The sequence below is a fragment of the Homo sapiens genome, chromosome 12 (genome assembly GCF_000001405.40).
Source record: "Homo sapiens chromosome 12, GRCh38.p14 Primary Assembly".
Taxonomy (NCBI): domain Eukaryota; kingdom Metazoa; phylum Chordata; class Mammalia; order Primates; family Hominidae; genus Homo; species Homo sapiens.
In genome coordinates, this window is record NC_000012.12 from 56,709,078 (window position 1) to 56,725,679 (window position 16,602).

A 16,602-nucleotide genomic window follows, 5' to 3' on the forward strand; every position below is an offset into this window, starting at 1 on the left:
TTGGCTCACTGTAACCTCCGCCTCCCAGGTTCAAGCAATTCTTGTGCCTCAGCCTCCCAAGTAGCTGGGACTACAGGTGTGCGCCAACATGTTCAGCTAATTTTTGTATTTCTTGGTTTCGTCATGTCGGCCAGGGTCGTTTTGAACTCTTAGCCAGGCATGAGCCACTCTGCTTGACTCCAAGAACCAAAAATTTAATCATTCTAGTAATAGAGGAAGTTATCTGCATTTCAATTGTGGTGAAGCAAAAGACTGAGAGGAAGGCCCGTTGCGGTAGCTCAGGCCTATAATCTCAGCACTTTGGGAGGTCGAGGCAGGAGGATCATTTGAGGTCAGGAGTTTGAGACCAGCCTGGACAACATGGTGAAGCCTTGTCTCTATTAAAAATACAAAAATTTGCTGGGCGTGTGGTGTGGGCCTCTAATCTCAGCTACTTGGGAGGCTGAGGCAGAATTGCTTGAACCTGGGAGGTAGACGTGGCAGTGAGCTGAGATTGTGCCACTGCATTCCAGCCTGAGCGACAGAGCAAGTCTGCATCTCAAAAAATTAAATAAATAAGAAAGACTGAGAGGTAGGAATTAATAGCAGAAGAAAAGGGGGAACTGATGTTGTGAGATTCTTGAGGTGGGAAGTAGTGAACACTACTGCAGTGATGCAAAAAGGGTCTTGAACAAGATAGTTGTTTTTAAAAAAATTGGGAATGAGTATCTAAATTTCTTCCTGAAATAATTATTGGATTGACTCAGATTGGCTGTTAGGCGCCTTTTTTCTCATGAGATTTTGTTCATCAAATAATCAACTGTTTTGAAATGAGATGAAAGGTCTTCATTCTGAGCCAATCTTCAGATTTCTATTTGTGCTCCCACAGTACAGCCTACTACTTCCTAGCTGGGGGAAACAAAAGGCCCTGCTGTTTTTAGTGGCTTTGAGAAAGTCATAAACTCCTTAGTCCTCAGCTTTCACTCACATCTACTAAAATAATGCCTTTTTTTTTCTTTTTTTTTTTGAGATGGCATCTTGTGGCCCAGGTTGGAATGTAGTGGCGCGATCATGGCTCACTGTAGCCCTGACCACCGAGGGTCAAGGGAGCAGGGTCAAGGGAGCAGGCTCAAGTGATCCTCCCACCTCAGCCTCCTTAGTAGCTGGAACCAAAGTGCACAATATCACACCTAGCTAGTATTTTTAGTTTTTGTAGAGGCAAGGTCTCTGTATGTTGCCCAAGCTGGTTTTGAACTCGTGGGCTCAAAGGATCTTCCTGCCTGTACTCCCAAAGTGTTGGGATTTCAGGCAGAAGCCACCCTCCTTGGCCTCTGTTTTTTTTTTTTTTTTTTGAGATGGGAGTCTTGCTTTGTCACCTAGGCTGGAGTGCAATGGTGCCATCTCGGCTCACTGCAACCTCTACCTCCTGGGTTCAAGCGATTCTCCTGCCTCAGCCTCCCGAGTAGCTGGGACTACAGACGCATGCCACCATGCCCAGCTAATTTTTTTTGTATTTTTTTTTTTTTTTTTGAGACGGAGTCTCGCTGTCGCCCAGGCTGGAGTGTAGTGGCGCGATCTTGACTCACTGCAACCTCTGCCTCCCGGGTTCAAGCAATTCTCCTGCCTTAGCCTCCTGAGTAGCTGGGATTATAGGCGCCCGCCACCACGCCCAGCTAATTTTTCTGTTTTTAGTAGAGACGGGGTTTCACCATGTTGGTCAGGCTGGTCTCAAACCCCTGACCTCGTGATCCACCCGCCTCGGCCTCCCAAACTGCTGGGATTACAGGCATGAGCCACCGCGCTGCCCTTTTTTTTGTTGTTATTTTTAGTAGAGATGGGGTTTCACTGTGTTAGCCAGAATGGTTTGGATCTCCTGACCTTGTGACCCGCCTGCCCTGCCTGCCTCAGCCTCCCAAGTTGGTGGGATTACAGGTGTGAGCCACTGTACCCGGCCGGCCTCATTTTTTATGGAGACCAAAAGACTGAATTCTATAAAAATGTCTTAACTCCTTTAGTTCTAAAGCCCAGTTTTAGATGTTAGCCACATTTATTCCCATTCTAACATATTCCTTCTAGGTGTATTTTCACATGTTCATTTCAGGATTCTTGCCTCTACATTTACTTGTAACTTTCCCATTTCTAAATTGTAGCCCTTTGATTTCCTCCAAACCATTCTCTGACAACCCAAACTGAGTTTTTCTTGGAATTCCTATGTAGCTATCTGTAAACTAACTGTTATGTTTTAGTTAGCCTGGGAGAGTCCTAGTTTTCATTTATTGTCCTAATATGTAATTATGGCTGTCCTAATCAGAAGCTACTTTGTAGATTAAAATGTCTGTAGAGAATATGCTTAAGAGCAGAAAGTTTACAATATACTCAAAATCTTCCCCTTCAGGAGGTAGCTTTTTCATGTACCTCCAACTTTCTCTTCAACCCTGTACCAAGCTCTTACATGTCGATATGTAACCAATGTAAACTCCTCAGAGGCCACAAAAGCCCCAGTGTGCATTCAGAAAGATTGGAGTTCAGTGAAGGGGCTGATTACTAGATACAGAAGAATCGGGATCTGCTAACAGTTAACATCTGGGAAAGAAAGTGGAAATGAGAAACTATTTTTTTGAGACAGTGTCTCACTCTGTCGCCCAGGCTGGAGTGCAGTGGTGTGATCTCAGGGATTACTCAGTGATCCTATTTTTTGTAGAGGCGGGGTTTTGCCATGTTTCCCAGGCTGGTGTCAAATTCCTGGGCTAAAGAGATCCACCTGCCTTGGCCTCCCAAAGTGTTGGGATTACAGGTGTGAGCCGTCGCGCCTGGTCAGAAATGAGAAACTTTATAGTCAAGTTGTATTTCCTTAAGTTAAGAAGGTCCTAACAGCCTAGTATAGTAACTTTTTTTTTTTTTTTTTTTTTTTTGAGATGGAGTCTTGCTCTGTCTGTCGCCCAGGCTGGAGTGCAGTGGCGTGATCTGGGCTCACTGCAAGCTCTGCCTCCCAGGTTCACACCATTCTCCTGCCTCAGCCTCCCAAGCAGCTGGGACTACAGGTGCCCGCCACCACGCCCGGCTAATTTTTTGTATTTTTAGTGGAGACGGGGTTTCAACGTGTTAGCCAGGATGGTCTCAATCTCCTGACCTCGTGATCTGCCCCCTCCTTGGCCTCCCAAAGTGCCAGGATTACAGGCGTGAGCCACCACGCCTGGCCAGTAACTTCTTAAAAGAGGTATAAAGTCTGAGATTCTAAGTGGGAAATCTGTGGCACTAAACCTTATCAAATGAGGGAGGCCTTAGGAGTAATTAATAAATTACTAGAACCTTTTTAAGTTTTTTTTTTTTTTGGTGTGGGGGGGTGGCGGGGAAGAGACCAGTCACCGACTGAATTCATCCAACAAGAAGCCATAACTTTATTTATGATAGAAACAGTACAAATTTCAAACCAAGCTGCAGTTACTCCTTTGAGACACCAAAAAAAGTTGCTTCCATATGGTTACATTGTTAATTCCTGTAACAGAGAAAAGATAATTAGCGGTTCTTATAGGCAAATCAGGAGAATTCAGGTCACTAAAACTCTTACAGGCAAATCAGGAGAATTTAGGCCACTAAAACCTATACGGCAACTCAGAAGAGGCTCTGGAATGAGGTTCCTTAATTGGCTGATATTTAGCAAGACAAAATAAAGTCACTCATAATTGGTCAGGGCAGAGGGAGTCAAGGAACAAAGGCTTGAACACTTACCATAATCGCATTTACAATATCATTACTGTTGTTCTTCAGGGCTCGGACTGCCTTTGCTCTCGACACATTTGCTTGTGACATGACCAATTCAATGTCCTTAACTTCTACACCTGTTTCATCGACCTGAGAGATGAGAGGGAAAAAGCAGTAAATTAAAGGCAAGAACAATTTCAGCAGTTCTTTGGAGTCTCCTGAATCTAGTTTTTAATATAGCTCACCAACACGAACACAATGCTATACGGCGAGAGTTAAATTATGAAAGATTTCCTAGTATACCTCTTCCTCTTCACTCTCCTCTTGTACAGTTGGAGTCTGTGTGTTTTCTTGAATGTTTGAGACAGCTTCACCTTGAACTTTGAATTTCTCAGCAGCTGCTAGTTGTGCTTGCTGGGATAAATCTTCGATCTACAGGGTAGAAAATACAGATCCATGTGAGTAGATTAGCAGTCTTTGAAAAATAAATCATATAGTTTCACAACTCTCTGTAAACCCATTCAGGTAACTTATTGTACAGCTTTAAACTGCTTGCCCTCACAGTAGAAAGAGTAGTTGTTTAGGTTTAGAGCAGTGGTTCTCAACTAGGGGGTAGTTAGGTCTCCCAGGAGATATATGGCAATGGAGTTTTTGGGTAATCAAAACTGGATGTAATGGATAGCCCTTCCATAACAGAGAACTATCTGACGCAAAATGTCAGCAGTGCTGAGGTTGAGAAACCCTGGTCTGGAACAATGCCCAAGAAAAGTTTACTCACCTTGGCTTCCCCAAAAACTATGTAAGTATCTGAAGCAGGGCTCTTGTAGACATCTGGTTTTGTGATGACAAAGAGGATATTCTTAGATTTCCGGATAGTGACTCTAGTAACTCCTGTAACCTGCCGAAGACCCAGTTTGGACATAGCCTAAAGAAGAGAAAATAGTATCAGGTTTTCAACCTCTTTAGAAGCAGCCTAAAGAAGCAAGGAACATAATACAACATCCAAAGCAAAGCCTTTCCCCAGGCTGAGAAAAGTTCATACAAGAATAGAGAATGGGTTTTCTGCCGTAGTAACTTCTGTTACTTTATTTTTTATTTTTTGGAGGCAGGTCTTGCTCTGTCGCCCAGGCTGGAGTGCAGTGGTGCAATCTCGGCTCAATGTAATGTCCGTCTCCCAGGTTCAAGCAATTGCCGTGCCTCAGCCACCTTAGTAGCTGGGATTACAGGAGCGTTACCACCATGCCCTGCTATATATTTTTGGTATTTTTAGTAGAGATGGGGTTTCGCCATGTTGGCCAGGCTGGTCTTGAACTCCTGACCTCAAGTGATCCATCTGCCTTGGCCTTCCAGTGTGCTGGGATAACAGGTGTGAGCCACCAACCTAGCTACTTCTGTTACTTTCAACGGGATTCTACCACTACTAAGAATTGGGTTCAGTGTATACTGCTTGGGTGACAGGTGCACCAAAATCTCAAAAATCACCACTAGAGAACTTACTTGTATAACCAAAATACCACCTGTTCCCCAAAAACCTATGGAAATAAACAGTTCCACTCTGTATAAAGGTGCTTCATAAGATCCTGAAATCCTTTTCAAATCTTACCTTCCGTGCCTTCTTTTCACTCCGACTCTGTTTTGCTTTACTGACTGGTTCTTCATCAATTTCAGCTGCTGCCGCCAGCTAAGAAGATAAAACAGCTATTAGTTAACCAGAATCTAAGATCTGGATAGCACAATCTCCTTGTGGGTTTTCCTTTATGAAGGTTCACAGTTCCAAATACAAAAGTTGCCCTGATCAACCCTGCTTCTTTGACCCAATACCAGTTAGTAAGAGAATACCCACCTGGGCTTGTTGTGTGGTTGCCTGGGTGGAATCCTGTTCTTCAAGCTCTGGTACTGATTCATCACTGTCAGATTCTGTTCCAGACCCTAAGATGAGAAACAACTTTTACTGCTTTATAGTAGAAATTATAAGAGAAGGTACTTCACCACAGCCTGCCCTGGACTAGAGGTGAATGCCTCATGCTAGACCTAAGAATGTTAAATGTAAACCAACTGGCTTGTGTGAAGTCAGCTTGATAGCCCCTAACTTAGTCACTAACTAGCGGGTACACATCTAGTAAAGACCCAGCCCTAACCCCAGAAATGAGGACTAATCACTAGAAATAGCTGAGCAGTTTAATATACTGTAACTGCTTTCTTTCCCTCAAGGTCTTTGTTTCTTGGCACAGGCAAATAATGACCCATATGACTCTAAAATTTTACCCAATAGTCCAATTATCCCTGTAAAGTTCTGTCAGAAGGTGCCCCCAGATACACTTAAGTGAAAAAACCAAAATCACACCGTGGAGGCACAACAGGTTGGGTGGTTTTCCCCTCAACTTTTAAACTGGGTTGGAGGAAGTCAAAAGCAGACACGTACACATATTCAGCCTCATTTTCAAACCATTCACCCCAGCAATGTGATCTAATCAATATAATTAGAAGATTCTCAATGATGATGACCTATATCTCTAGTTTTTCCAAACATAATTCACATAAATTTCTTTCAATTCAAAGGCCAAGCATCAGTAAAGACTACTGAGGAAAAAAAGCATACACCTGCACCATTTTCAGGCTAGGAAAAACAGATTTCTACATTTTTATGAAAAGGGAGTCCCTGGGCAACTGGTCATTACTAAGTCTAATAATGGAAAAATAAATACAAATAGTTCAATTCTCCAATAATTTTACCAAATCTCAGGCCCAGGGACAAGGTTAGTTAGTGATGTGGTAGGGATTAGAGCAAATGAAAAGGTCTGGCAGGTCTTGGTTTTCAATGTCAGATCAATTAGGTAAAATAGATGGCATGGCAGGCTCAGGGTAGTCCGGGCCACATTACACAAAAATGATACACAATGTACTATGTATCTATCTGAAGTAATGAAAACCAAGATTTGGTTTCATATTCCTAGAACTTTTGCATTTAAAATTATCATTCTATGTTCTACATCCAAACCCAAGCAGATTCACTGGAGAAAGCGGCGCATCACAGGGTTAGTATTGGTGGGTAGCGCCCAAGAGGGGTGTGGACGACAGACACACCATGCACACGGCAAACCAAGGCAAATACCCTTGTTGTTCTTCGTAACAGGTTGCTTGGCAGAGGGGGTTGGGACAGGGATTCCAGCAGATTTAGGGGTGGGCATGTTGACGAGGACCGACTGGAAAGGCACTCCCCCAGAGATTGGTTCCGGGGGAATCAGAGGCAGCAGCTCATCCTCATCAGCAGGGGCAAGGGGTTTAGAGGGTGATTCCAACACCAGCCCAGGAGAGGACGGCAGAAATTGCTGTTTAGGAGGCAGAGTGGGAACTGGGGAGGGAGCAAGAGGCAGAGAGACTGGTGGGGAGGGTGCTGCAGAGACAGATGCTGATTCAGGTTTAGGAAGGACCTTCTCAAAGGCAGCTGCTGTTAGAGGGGTGGACGCCTTAGACTCAGGAGGAGCCAAGGGGCCCTTTGGGGAATGAGAAGCATCTTTGCCTTTTGCTGTCTTTGAAGAGTCTTTCTGAACAGGGAGTAGAGGGGCTGGAGCCACTGTGGAAAGGGGTCCTTTAGAACCATTCTTAGCTGAGGGATCTGGGCATATAGGAGGTGAAGTAGCAGAACTCTTTTTGGTCTGTGGACCTTTCCGAGTGGGAGCTGTGATGATTGGCGTGCTTTCTGGAGCTGGGGCAACAAGTACTTCTTTCAGAGCTGTGGGGCCTTTCTTTGCTGGAAGCCCTTTAGATGCTTGAGGAACAGTGGCCCCCATTTTACATGTGACAGAAGCTGGGGAAGTAGGGGAGTCTTTGAGGGAGGAAGGAGTCACAGGTGGGGAAGTGGGAGTCCCTTTGGGGGCTGGAGTTGCTGGGCCCTTTTCGGGGGATGGAGGAGTCACAGCTGGAGGAGTAGGTGCCTCTTTGGGGGAAGGAGAAGTCACAGCTGGTGGAATGAGGAGCTCTTTGGGGGATGGGGCCCCTTTGTAAGTGGAAGGAGTCACTGCTGGGGGACTGGAGGCCTCTTTGGAGGATGGGGTAGCTGGGGCTTCTTTGGGGGTTGGAATTGCTGGGGTCTTTTTAGGGGAGGGAACAGTCATAGCTGGGGGAATGAGGGCCTCTTTGGGGGCTAGAGTTGCTGGGGTCTTTTTAGAGAGAAGAGTCGCTGTTGGGGCAATGGGGTCCCTTCTGGAGGATGGGGTAGCTGGGACCTCTTTGGGGGAAGAAGGAATCACAGCTGGCAGAGTGGGGGCCCCCATGGGGGCTGGAGTTGCTGGGGCCTTTTTGGGAGAGGAAGAAGTGGCAACTTGTTTGGGGGCTGGGGGCTCCTTGGGGGAAGGAGGAGTCACTGCTGGGAGGGTGGGATCCCCTTTGGAGGATGGGGTAGCTGGGCCTCCTTTGGGGGCTGAAGTTGCTGGGGCCTTTTTGAGGGAGACAGGAGTCACTGCTGGGGGAGTGAGATCTCCTTTGGATGGGGTGGCTGCGCCTTCTCTGGTGACTGGAGTTGCTGGAGCCTTTTTGGGGGAGAGAGGAATCACTGCTGGGGAAGTGGGGTCCCCTTTGGGAGATGGGATAGCTGGTCCTCTTTTGGGGGAGGGAGGAGTCATAGCGGGACCTCCTTTGTGGGAGGGGGTTGCAGCTGGGGGAGTGGGGCCCTCTTTGGAGGATGGAGTAGTTGGGCCTCCTTTAGAGGAGGGAGTTGTAGCTGGGAGAGTAGGGGTCCCTTTAGGGGAGGGAGGAGTTACAGCTGGGGGAGTGGGGGCCCCTTTGGGGGGTGGGGTACCTGGGCTTCCTTTTGGGGAGGGAGGAGTTGCAGCTGGAGGAGTGGGGGCCCCTTTGGGGGGTGAGGTAGCTGGGCCTCCTTTTGGAGAGGGAGGAGTTACAACTGCGGGATTGGGGGCCCCTTTGTGGGGTGGGGTAGCTAGACCTCCTTTTAGGGAGGGAGGAGTTGCAGCTGGGGGAGTGGGGGCCCCTTTGGGGGGTGGGGTAGCTGGGCCTCCTTTTGGGGAGGGAGGAGTTGCAGCTGGGGTTGTGGGGGCCCCTTTGGGGGATGGGGTAGCCAGACCTCCTTTTGGGGAGGGAGGAGTTGCAGCTGGGGTTGTGGGGGCCCCTTTGGGGGATGGGGTAGCTAGACCTCCTTTTGGGGAGGGAGGAGTTGCAGCTGGGGTTGTGGGGGCCCCTTTGGGGGATGGGGTAGCTAGACCTCCTTTTGGGGAAGGAGGAGTTGCAGCTGGGGTTGTGGGGGCCCCTTTTGGGGGTGGGGTAGCTAGACCTCCTTTTGGGGAAGGAGGAGTTGCAGCTGGGGTTGTGGGGGCCCCTTTTGGGGGTGGGGTAGCTAGACCTCCTTTTGGGGAGGGAGGAGTTGCAGCTGGGGTTGTGGGTGCCCCTTTGTGGGGTGGGGTAGCTAGACCTCCTTTTGGGGAGGGAGGAGTTGCAGCTGGGGGCATGGGGGCCCCTTTGGGGGATGGGGTAGCTGGGCCTCCTTTTGGGGAGGGAGGAGTCGCAGCTGGGGGAGTGGGGGCCCCCTTGAGGGATGGGGTAGCTGGACCTCCTTTTGGGGAGGGAAGAGTTGCAGCTGGGGTTGTGGGGGCCCCTTTGGGGAGTGGGGTAGCTGCTGGACTTCCTTTGGGGGAGGGAGGAGTTGCAGCTGGGGGTGTGGATGCCCCTTTGGGGAATGGGGTAGCTGCTGGACTTCCTTTGGGGGAGGGAGGAGTCACAGCTGGGGGTGTGGGGGCCCCTTTGGGGGATGGAGTAGCTGGACCTCCTTTGGGGGAGGGAGGAGTTGCAGCTGGGGGTGTGGGGGCCCCTTTGGGGGATGGAGTAGCTGGACCTCCTTTTGGGGAGGGAGGAGTTGCAGCTGGGGGTGTGGGGGCCCATTTCGGGGATGGGGTAGCTGGGCCTCCTTTAGGGGAGGGAGGAGTTGCAGCTGGGGGTGTGGGGGCCCCTTTGGGGGATGGGGAAGCTGGGATTCCTTTAGGGGCTGGAGTTGCTCGGGCCTTTTTGGGGGAGGAAGAAGTCATGGATAGAGCAGGAGCCTGTTTGGGTGCTGGAGTAGCTGGACCCTCTTTGGGGAAGGGCAGATTCACCACTGAAGGAGTGGGGGTCTCTTTGGGGGGTAGTGTTACTCCTTTGGGAGACAGAGGAGTCACAGCTGAGGGAGTAGGGGCCCCTTTGGGGGATGGAGGAGTGGGAGAATGCGTCGTGGCTGGTGAGTCTTTAGAGCCTTGGAAAGAAAGACTATTCTCTGGAAGAAATGAAGCTTCAACTGGAGAAACAGGGGATGAGAGATTTCCAATAGGAGTATCAGGGCCAGCAGAACCCTTCTTGGTTGGAGGTCTTTTAGTCTGAGGAGACACACTAACCCCTAAAGGAGATGGGGAATCAGCTAGGTAAGTCAGAGTTCCTTTGGAAGATGCAGTAGCAGAAGCACCAGAGTCCTCAGTTGGGCACTCTTTGGGAGAGGAAGCAACAGGTGCCAATGCTGAAGTATGAGAAATACCATCAACCTTTTTTGTACCTGGAGGAGTCCCAGCTGGGGGAAGAGAGGGTGAGGGCACAGACTTTGGGATTTCAGGGGCCAGCACTAAGGTAGCCAGAGGAGCACAGGTATTCTGGGGGGATGGAGCCACAGGGCAATTTTCTGAAGCTGTAGGAACCAAGGGTAAAGTAGTAAGAGTACCTTCCTTAACTGGGTGGTTTTTAGGAGCTAAAGAGACAGTTCCTTCTAGAAAAGGGCTGGCTGTAGTTGTATAAGTTGAGGTACCTTTGGCAGTTGTGGGAGCCACCCCGGCAGGGTCAGCACTTTCCAAAGGAAATGCAGCCACTGTTGGGGTAATGAGAGAACTTTTGAGAAGCGGACCAGCAGAGTCTGGGCCTGCATAAGAATCTGTCTTGATTACAGAGGCCGAGGAGTTAACACCCAGAGGGGAGGTCATACTGCTGGCTGGCTTACCTATAGGGAGAGGCTCCCCAAGGCTTTTCTTTGCTAGGGTGGCTTCAGGAGAAAGAGGTATCTCTGGAGAAGAGGATGTACTTTGGAAAGAAGGGGAATTTTTAGGGGCTGCCTGGACTAACGGTAATACAGTAGGGTCTTTCTTGGTGGTGAGTCCTGCTTGGGCTGGAGAGAAAGGGGCTCCTTCAAGAGAGGCAGGTACAGTTTGGAGGTCTTTTTGTGTTGGAAATTTAACCAATACTGAACTGGGGAGATTTTTGAGGTCTTCAGGGTCTGGCAGAGGAGGAGAGACTGGTATCCTCAGAGTGGTTGCTACTTGAGTAGAAGGCTCTTTGGGAGCCACAGGTGCCATAACCAAGGCAGCAGGGGAAGTTGGTTCTATGTTACTTATGGGACCTGATGACATTGGAGGAGAAACACAAGTAGCTACCTCAAAGGTAGTAGTAGGTGCTGCAGCAATTGTACAGGGGTTAGTCACCACAAGTGGGGTGGTTCCAACAGAAGAAACGGGCATTTGGGCCACTAAAGGATAATGATAAGTGGCATTAGGAGAGCTTTTGAGAATGAGAGAGGTTGTAGGAGATAATGAAAAAGAGGTAGCTACATTTAAGGAGCCAGAAGGGCTGCAGGTTATGCTAGAGATGGTAGAGGGACCTTTGTCAACAGATGGAGCCACCACTGGAAAGGCAGCCACAGTAGCAGGAACTACCTCATTTCTGGAAGGAAGGGGAGGAATTACAGATCTCTGAGAAGGATAAGAGGCCCCTGTGGAAGAATGATCTACAGAAATGGTCTTCACTGTAGGGTCTGACAAAGCACTAGGACCTGTTTGACCTAAAAGTTGGACAGAACCAAAAGAACTCTGATGTAAAGGTGCAAGATGAGAGCCCAGAGAAATGGGAAAATCTGGGGGGGTGTTGGGACCCGCAGTCTTTTGAGAAGAGGTCACCACAGGAAGAGACTGAGTTGAAAGAGATAAGGCAGCAGGTGGACTAACAGGCCCCTTCAGGCTGAGGCTTCCTGGGTTTTGTGGAGAAATCAGAACTGAGGAAATGGTGGTATCTTTGACTTGAGGGGAAGCGATGGCTAGGGTAGTTGTGGGTGTTGTCTGAGGAAGGGAGGCCACTCCAGATTGAATAGAGGCCATGGGAGTCACACAGTGGTAAGGAACAGTACTGACTATACATGGAGGGCTGGGGGTGCCTTTTGGATTAGGGACTACCTCAGAGGGAACTTTATTAAGATTAGTCTTTGGTTCTGAGGGAGCAATGGGAGCTGACAGAGTTATCACTGACCCTGACTCAGCTACAGCCACTGAAGGAGGTGAAGTAAGAAGGTTAGGTGGAAAAGCAGAACTCTTCTGAACTGAGTGGGGAGCCAGGGCAACCAGAGCTAAGGGAGCTGAAGAGGAAGGGGTCCCTTTCAGAGTTGGAGCTATCATGGGAGAGGCTAGAGCTAAGGCAGCTGGGGAGATGGGAGGCCCTATTAGGTTTGGTAGGAAGGTTGGGGCTTCAGGGGCAGTTCCCAAAGGTAGGGCTGTTCCAGAGGATGACTGGGGAAAAGGAACTTCTAAAGGGGTCGAGGCAATAGTAGAGGGGGAAGGGAATGGGGAAGCCTGGTTAGCAGCTGAGAGAGGGCACTGTTGTGGGGCAGGAGAGCAAGGAGGGGGGAGGGTAGGTCCAGGCTGCCCTAAGGCAGCAGTGACACTCAAGGCTGAAGACATAGGTAGCACAGCTGGAGAAAGGCAAAAGGAGATAAAGAAAGGGGGAGGGGGAGGAGAAAAAAGGTGAGTTATGCAGCCCAACTTGGTACAACATGCCTCCTAGGAAACACTGGAGTTTAAAATCTGACAGTCTAAGTCACCACGCAGGATTAGATAAAGGTGACAGGCAACAACAACCTTCCCCAAACATTTTTCAGTGGTCAAGTGAGAAGACATTCCCCTCCTAATTTCTCACACTTCCCCAAGTTCTACCAAAGTAAACCAACTATTTTAGGGTGAGGAGAACAGTCTAAGAGCAGCCTATCTCTAAATGGGGAGCACAGACTCTTGGTAGGTTGAGAACAACATGCTTTCTATCCTTTCCCAGTTGTGCCCTCCCCTTACTTCTTGAAATGGACTGTATTCCCAAGTCTTTCTCACAGCCAACAGAATTCCCACGAGAAGAACAGCTGTGCTACTCTGTCCACCCAAATATCATGAACAGAAAAGATACTGAAAACTGGAACAAAGAAGTTAGTGAGCAGTGACGATGATGGGGAATCTGAACTGAATAAGAAAACACAGGCTTTTATACTTTCAGGCTTCCACTAGGCTAGGAAACATCTGACTCTGTTAGAATAGTTTTGGGAAGGAGGTGCACAGCACAATTCAGTTCTTCCTAAAGTTGAAACACTTCAGAATTTAATATCAAGTATTAAAGTCACTTAGCTTCTTTATACCTTACCAGTTTACTTACTCACAAAACCCAAACAAGAAAACCAACCACAAAAGGACTGTAATAGTCTCTATAAACCTTCCTAGGTGATGTTAATTCTTCAGACATCAATCCAAGATGAATTAGACATGAATTAGACCTCCAGGCAGAGAGCTTACTCACAAGGGTAGGGACTGTATTATGAAACTGTAACCTAACTTGTTAAACCAGATTGTGGTGCTATTTTGGAAGAAGAGAATTGGAGAGCCTGTAACAGTGGCTCATGCCTGTAATCCCAGCACTTCGGGATGCCTGGGAGGGCGGATCACGAGGTCAGGAGTTCCAGACCGACCTGACCAACATGGTGAAACCCCGTCTCTACTAAAAATACAAAAATTAGCTGGGCGTGGTGGTGTACACCTGTAATACCAGCTACTCAGGAGGCAGAGGCAGGAGAATGGCTTGAACCCAGGAGGTGGAGGTTGCAGTGAGCCAAGATCGCGCTACTGCATGCACTCCAGCCTGGGTGACAGGGTGAGACTCCGTCTCAAAACAAAACAAACCAAAGAAGACAATTGGAGTGGCGAGAATACACTGGATCCCCACTCCTTAACTTGGAATTTAAGTGTTTCATTATGTCAAAATACACCAATGTTTGGCATGACAGTAAGACAGTATCTCTGGCATTCAGGAGGTAACACAGAATTGGATCAACAAATGCTCAATGCTTAGAAGGGAATGTTAAGGGGGGCGGGGGGGAAGCCCGTGGTACCAAAATTCAAATTCAAAATTCACTCAACCAGTAATTCTGAAGTTCTTATGGCATCCTACCATGGAAAAGACAAGGTGGCTCAACTAGTTTTTCCTGGAGAGTGGGTAGGCCAAAGTCTAACGATTACAGGAAAACGCTACCAAACATAATGAATCAGAATTAAAAACATGGAATATGTTTTCTTCTGACTGGACCTCAAATGGAATAAGCACTCAAATACTTGCTTTGACACCATCAACAATTCCTTGAGCTTCCTTCTTCATTCTAATAGACTATCATTACAGATAAAACCTTGTGTATTTATCATTGGTACTTCCTTAATATAAGCCTACTATGCAACTCAGACTATTCAGGAATACGTTTAATAGCATTAAGGACTGTTTCAGAAGTAAATGCATTAGTTTTGAAGCTTGAATCAGATTATTCTAAATTCATCTGAATTTCAAATCTTCGTATTTGTAAAATTAAGTTGTTCAATGACACAATCTCTAAAATCTCGTTTTGTACTGAAATTACAGAATCTTTAGAGAACAGTACTTTATTTTTTCCCTTCCTTAAGCCCCTTGTACTTCAAGAATTTCATATTGTTTATACTCCAGCTTAGAGCCCCCTATTGTCCTTCCTAGCAGCTGTATTAATCCCTTCAGCTGTTAAAATCAAACAGGTGGGAAGAAACTTTATGCTTTCAACTATAAGCAACTCTACTGTAACTCCAAAAAGGGACAGGAATTGCCCTTAAATAACAAATGAAATTTAAAAAAAACCAAAAAGGTGAGAATGAAAATTACAGCCTGAAGATTTCCTTCATTTAACGCTGCACAACTGACTCAGAAAGGCTATCATTTTAAGAACTTTTCATTACCTCCTCCTAAGTTTTCTACAGAGATATGTTTTAACCAGAATTTAAAATTAGCCTTCACAGTCGTTAATTTCGACGCTGAGGATAAAAGGATTTATTTCAATCCTGGGTTTCACACAATGATGCAGGAACTATTCCAGCACACTAGAAGTATCTCAGCACCACCAACCCATAAACAAGTTATCCGACCTAGGACGACTCTGGGGCCCAGTAGGACACATTTACCACCAGCACACATCTCATCCAGACATGTGATAAAGGCACAATGCCAAGCTCTGCTAACTAAAACCTTGATGCAACTTGCTGGCTGGAGTTTCACAAATGCTCCGGGCTCCTTGGCCTGTGTCATCTAGTTCCAATAGGTAAGAATCACTGAGCCCATTCCCTGCTGAGTTTTCCTATGTGAGGTGGGGGTTCCACAGGAGAGCTTCTTTTGAGGCGACAGGCATAACATAGAAAGCAAGCTAGGGTACTTTTAACGTCCACGAATCTTAAAAATATTATTTTTACTCCAAATCCCTAAAGAAGTATCTCCAGGATAGTAATTTTACGGTCTATCCTCCTTGGTAAAGCTGCAACCCCATCCTCCTAAAAAGTGTATTTCCCCTTGGTCATTTTGCCCACCAAATGGCTTTAGGGTTAATTTTAATTAATGGCAAGGAGGGTAGGGAAACCTACCTGTCTCAGCCTGGGGCTGCGGCAACTCCTGCTCTGTAGCAGGGACGGTTTCTGTGGCTTCGCCGGGCATTTCTGAAGGAAGGGAATAAAAAGGAGGCCTAAATTGATTGGGATACATTCACTTGCCCAACCCGGAGATAAGTATTCTTAAAAACTCCGAGGAGGGCTGTTAGAAAAAAATCGTGAGGGTGTTTGGTGACAACCTTCCCCAAAGCACCTGGGAATAAGAGGTAAATATGATGTGACCCTCACGCCTCTATCAAGGCCAGCAATTCCCACTGCATTCTCAACCCGAGGGAGAGGATCCCGGGCTGGCTCTCGATCATGGGAGACTTCAGACGCTACTGTGAACCCCCTCCACTCCTAATACTCACACTGGCTGGGCTGGGGCCTCCTGGACTACGTTTGCCGACTTTGGGGTACCAGGAGGGGAAAGACGGTGTTTTAAGTCCAACACTTGCTTGTCACAGGGAGAACGGTGTTACAGGTTCTAAGGCTGTGACCCCTTACCCTTTTCTGGATCCTGTGAAGCAGTTCCCAAAACAAGACGCACTCCTCTTCCGCCCTCAACACTGCAACTGCTCCCATCTCTGCAGGCTCGGATTCTGGGCCCGCCCCGCAGCCCTTCTACCCTGCTTTTGCCAGGACACCAACCGCAGACCCCATTTTGTCCGGAGGCCCAGGGGCGAGTAGGAACCCTGTGGCCCAGTAAAGCCTCCAACTCTCCTTAACTCTCAGTCCCCGGGGCGGCTTAGCCCGAAAGAAAGGCGGATGGCTGCGGATAGACAGTAGCGGCACAGAAAGTACTTACTGTGCAGGGAACGCGGAACCAAGATGGCGGCAGAAAGACCGAGCGAGAGCGTGACCCACGCCTGTTGCAGAAGGAAGCCTGGAGCGGAGGGGGTGGGACTAGGATCCGATTCCGGGTCAAGAGCTGCCGGCAGCCACTTCCTTTGACGAGTGACTGTCAGGCCGTTCCCACGGCGGGGGTGGTGACAAGGACTAAAGGGTAAGAATTTAGAACGGGACGCGCAGGCCTAGCAGGAGCTCTCTGCGCGGACCCACGCAGTCCTCAGAACTAAGCAGACTCCGCCCTCCGGTCCGCGAAGTGGCGACTGCGGTATTAAGTCGACCTCGCGATTTCTCAAATAGTGCAGGAAGAAGACATTAAATAGCGAATGCTAGAGACTGCATTCACAACATTGGAGGGTGGAAGTGACTTAGGCTA

At 48.0% G+C, this 16,602-nt stretch overlaps 1 protein-coding gene across 7 annotated transcripts, besides 4 other annotated features; it reads right to left on the reverse strand.

The window, feature by feature from the left end:
- NACA (nascent polypeptide associated complex subunit alpha) lies at positions 3,350–16,222 on the reverse strand. Of its 7 annotated transcripts, NM_001113203.3 has the most exons (11): positions 16,186–16,222; positions 15,375–15,446; positions 10,649–12,382; positions 10,460–10,519; positions 6,794–7,129; positions 5,525–5,610; positions 5,285–5,362; positions 4,460–4,606; positions 3,985–4,113; positions 3,709–3,831; positions 3,350–3,475 (listed from the first exon to the last, which is right to left on the reverse strand). In NM_001113203.3, the coding sequence occupies exons 2-11, from the start codon at positions 15,442–15,444 to the stop codon at positions 3,461–3,463; spliced, it is 2,778 nt and encodes a 925-aa protein (NP_001106674.2). In that variant the 5' UTR covers positions 15,445–15,446; positions 16,186–16,222; the 3' UTR covers positions 3,350–3,460. The 7 variants fall into 7 exon arrangements, with proteins under 7 accessions (NP_001106674.2, NP_001352825.1, NP_001106673.1 ...); NM_001365896.1 differs by having other exon boundaries at positions 6,794–12,382; NM_001113202.2 differs by lacking the exons at positions 6,794–7,129; positions 10,460–10,519; positions 10,649–12,382.
- Positions 11,739–11,858: an enhancer, noted in NCBI's record as "active region_6516". NCBI's record gives its function as "activates an Ori minimal core promoter by ATAC-STARR-seq in GM12878 lymphoblastoid cells {active_cell/tissue: GM12878}" and the evidence as "EXISTENCE:reporter gene assay evidence [ECO:0000049][PMID:35858748]".
- Positions 14,849–14,968: an enhancer, noted in NCBI's record as "active region_6517". NCBI's record gives its function as "activates an Ori minimal core promoter by ATAC-STARR-seq in GM12878 lymphoblastoid cells {active_cell/tissue: GM12878}" and the evidence as "EXISTENCE:reporter gene assay evidence [ECO:0000049][PMID:35858748]".
- Positions 16,028–16,077: an enhancer, noted in NCBI's record as "active region_6518". NCBI's record gives its function as "activates an Ori minimal core promoter by ATAC-STARR-seq in GM12878 lymphoblastoid cells {active_cell/tissue: GM12878}" and the evidence as "EXISTENCE:reporter gene assay evidence [ECO:0000049][PMID:35858748]".
- Positions 16,168–16,297: an enhancer, noted in NCBI's record as "active region_6519". NCBI's record gives its function as "activates an Ori minimal core promoter by ATAC-STARR-seq in GM12878 lymphoblastoid cells {active_cell/tissue: GM12878}" and the evidence as "EXISTENCE:reporter gene assay evidence [ECO:0000049][PMID:35858748]".

Coding starts and splice junctions, on each gene's coding strand:
- NACA (NM_001365896.1), bottom strand. CDS start 15,444: ATGCCCGGCGAAGCCACAGAAACCGTCCCTGCTACAGAGCAGGAGTTG. Junction 5,611..6,793: donor TGTTACGAAGAACAACAAGG/GTATTTGCCTTG, acceptor TTCTCATCTTAG/GGTCTGGAACAGAATCTGAC. Junction 3,832..3,984: donor AGGAGAGTGAAGAGGAAGAG/GTATACTAGGAA, acceptor CTCATCTCTCAG/GTCGATGAAACAGGTGTAGA.